The sequence below is a fragment of the Homo sapiens genome, chromosome X, assembly GCF_000001405.40.
Source record: "Homo sapiens chromosome X, GRCh38.p14 Primary Assembly".
Lineage (NCBI taxonomy): Eukaryota > Metazoa > Chordata > Mammalia > Primates > Hominidae > Homo > Homo sapiens.
Genome location: NC_000023.11, coordinates 7441659 through 7443774, shown reverse-complemented (window position 1 = coordinate 7443774; position 2116 = coordinate 7441659).

Here is a 2116-nt window from a genome sequence, read left to right as displayed (position 1 = left end):
TACTTGTTTCTTGCTGGCTGATAAGTACGTGTGAAGTTCCATAGGCATGTATTCTGTGCTGGGCACTGGGTGAGCACCACGAAACACATCAATGAATGGCCAGAAACACAGGTAAATGCAGGGTGCTTGGAGGCATGTTAAGGTAAAGAAATGTGCACCATGCTAACTTGAGCAGAAGCAAAACTCAGACCAAATCAGGGATGAAATTCAATTCATGCTTCAATATCTAGTCCAAAGAACTTTTTTGAATTCAAGACTTCTTCAGTGTTTTCTTATTCAGTCTATGGCTGAAAGAGATGGCTCAACTTTTATGGTGGTTAGGGCATGAGTCCTACTTGAGATGATTATAAATAATGCTGCCAAAAACACTGTTTTCCATGCTGATGGTGAACAAATGCACAGATTTTTAGGATTGGAAATGTTGGCCCATAAAATATGAATACATTCTACAATACTTAAATACTGCCCAACAGTTCTCCAAAATGACCAATTTGTATTTTCACCCAACATGTATGAAATTTCCAATCATTCCACATCTTCATCAAGATTTGATGTTTGCCTTCTTCATTTTAGCAAATTCTGAAGGTTGTGTAGTGGCATCACATGGTTGTTTCAATTTGCATATCTCTGATTGCTGATAGGTTTGAGAAGCTTTGAATATGTTCATTGGTTTTCTAGTCACTTTTTAAAGGGCCTATTCCATCCCATCTTTCTATTGGGTTTTCTACAATTTTTATATTGACTTATGGGAGTTCTTCATATATTCAGTCAGTCAGTCTTTCATTGGACATATGTTGCACTTCTTCCAACTCTCTAATTGGCTGCATCACTTCTTTAATGGTGTGTATTGATGAACAGAAGTTACGCATATTTGTATTTTTGATTTTGGTATAATTTACCTTTCCCCAGTGACTGTGCCTTCCATCCGTGACCACTGAAAAGCACATATTTCAGTAATAGTCTTTATTAAATGCATCCATTGTAGTTTTCAACAAACTACATCCTGTGTACTTGTTTATGTATTTAAATCATCATACACAGAACACGAACTGCACCACAGCATGGCTGTCTTCATCATAGTAGGAGTTTAATAACTCCTGATAGCTATTTTTTTAGATGTGAAGATTTAAGCAGCACTCAATAGGTTTACTGTAAAAAAAAAAATCAGCAGGCAGTTTGCACTAAAGTCATATGATAATTTCATATCAAATGAATATCCTCAAGCTATTAGAGGCAGTTTTTGTTCAGTCAGTGACTCCCAAATCCACCTGGATTAGTCACCAGACTTACTCTTTGAGCTGCAGTCAATCTGCTTTTTTTCAGATATCTATCTGAGTTTGACTCTAGGAACTTGTAATTAGGAATATGTTATCTCTTGAGAAGCCAGACCATGGCAGTATTTCTGCTTAATCTTTTATAATCAAGGTGCTTGAACAACTAGTTGATAGGTAAACTGCCTACTTAGCATGCTAATGAATGGAAACAAAAATAAAATGTAAGTGTGGAGATATTCATGCTGATATTACCTTGTGTAGGATAAAAATAGGGCTAAGAGGCTGGGACGCGATGGCTCACGCCTGTAATCCTAGCACTTTGGGCGGCTGAGGTGGGTGGATTGCCTGAGCTCAGGAGTTCGAGACCAGCCTGGGCAACAGGGTGAAACCCCGTCTCTACTAAAATATAAAAAAGTAGCCAGGCACAGTAGCATGCACCTGTACTGTAGTCCCAGGTACTCAGGAAGCTGAGGCAGGAGAATTGCTAGAACCCAGGTAGCTGAGGTTGCAGTGAGCCGAGATCACACCACTGCACTCCAGCCTCGGTGACAGAGCGAGACTCTGTCTCAAAAAGAAAAAACAAAAAACAAACAAACAAACAAACAAAAAACAAGGATCTGGGTGGGAATGCATCATAAAGAGTTTTATGAGGATGAGAGAACCCAGATTAGAGAAATGGAGGATTAGCTATTAACTGGCCCACAAATTCCCTGGAGCAGTTGTCAAAGGGAAGTGTATCAGTCAAGGCTTAAAGCATTGGCAAAATAAGAGAGGAAGGAATGGCTGGATTCAGAGGATCATAGACGCTAGCAGCTGACAGAAGGTATAGCGTTAGAGACTTC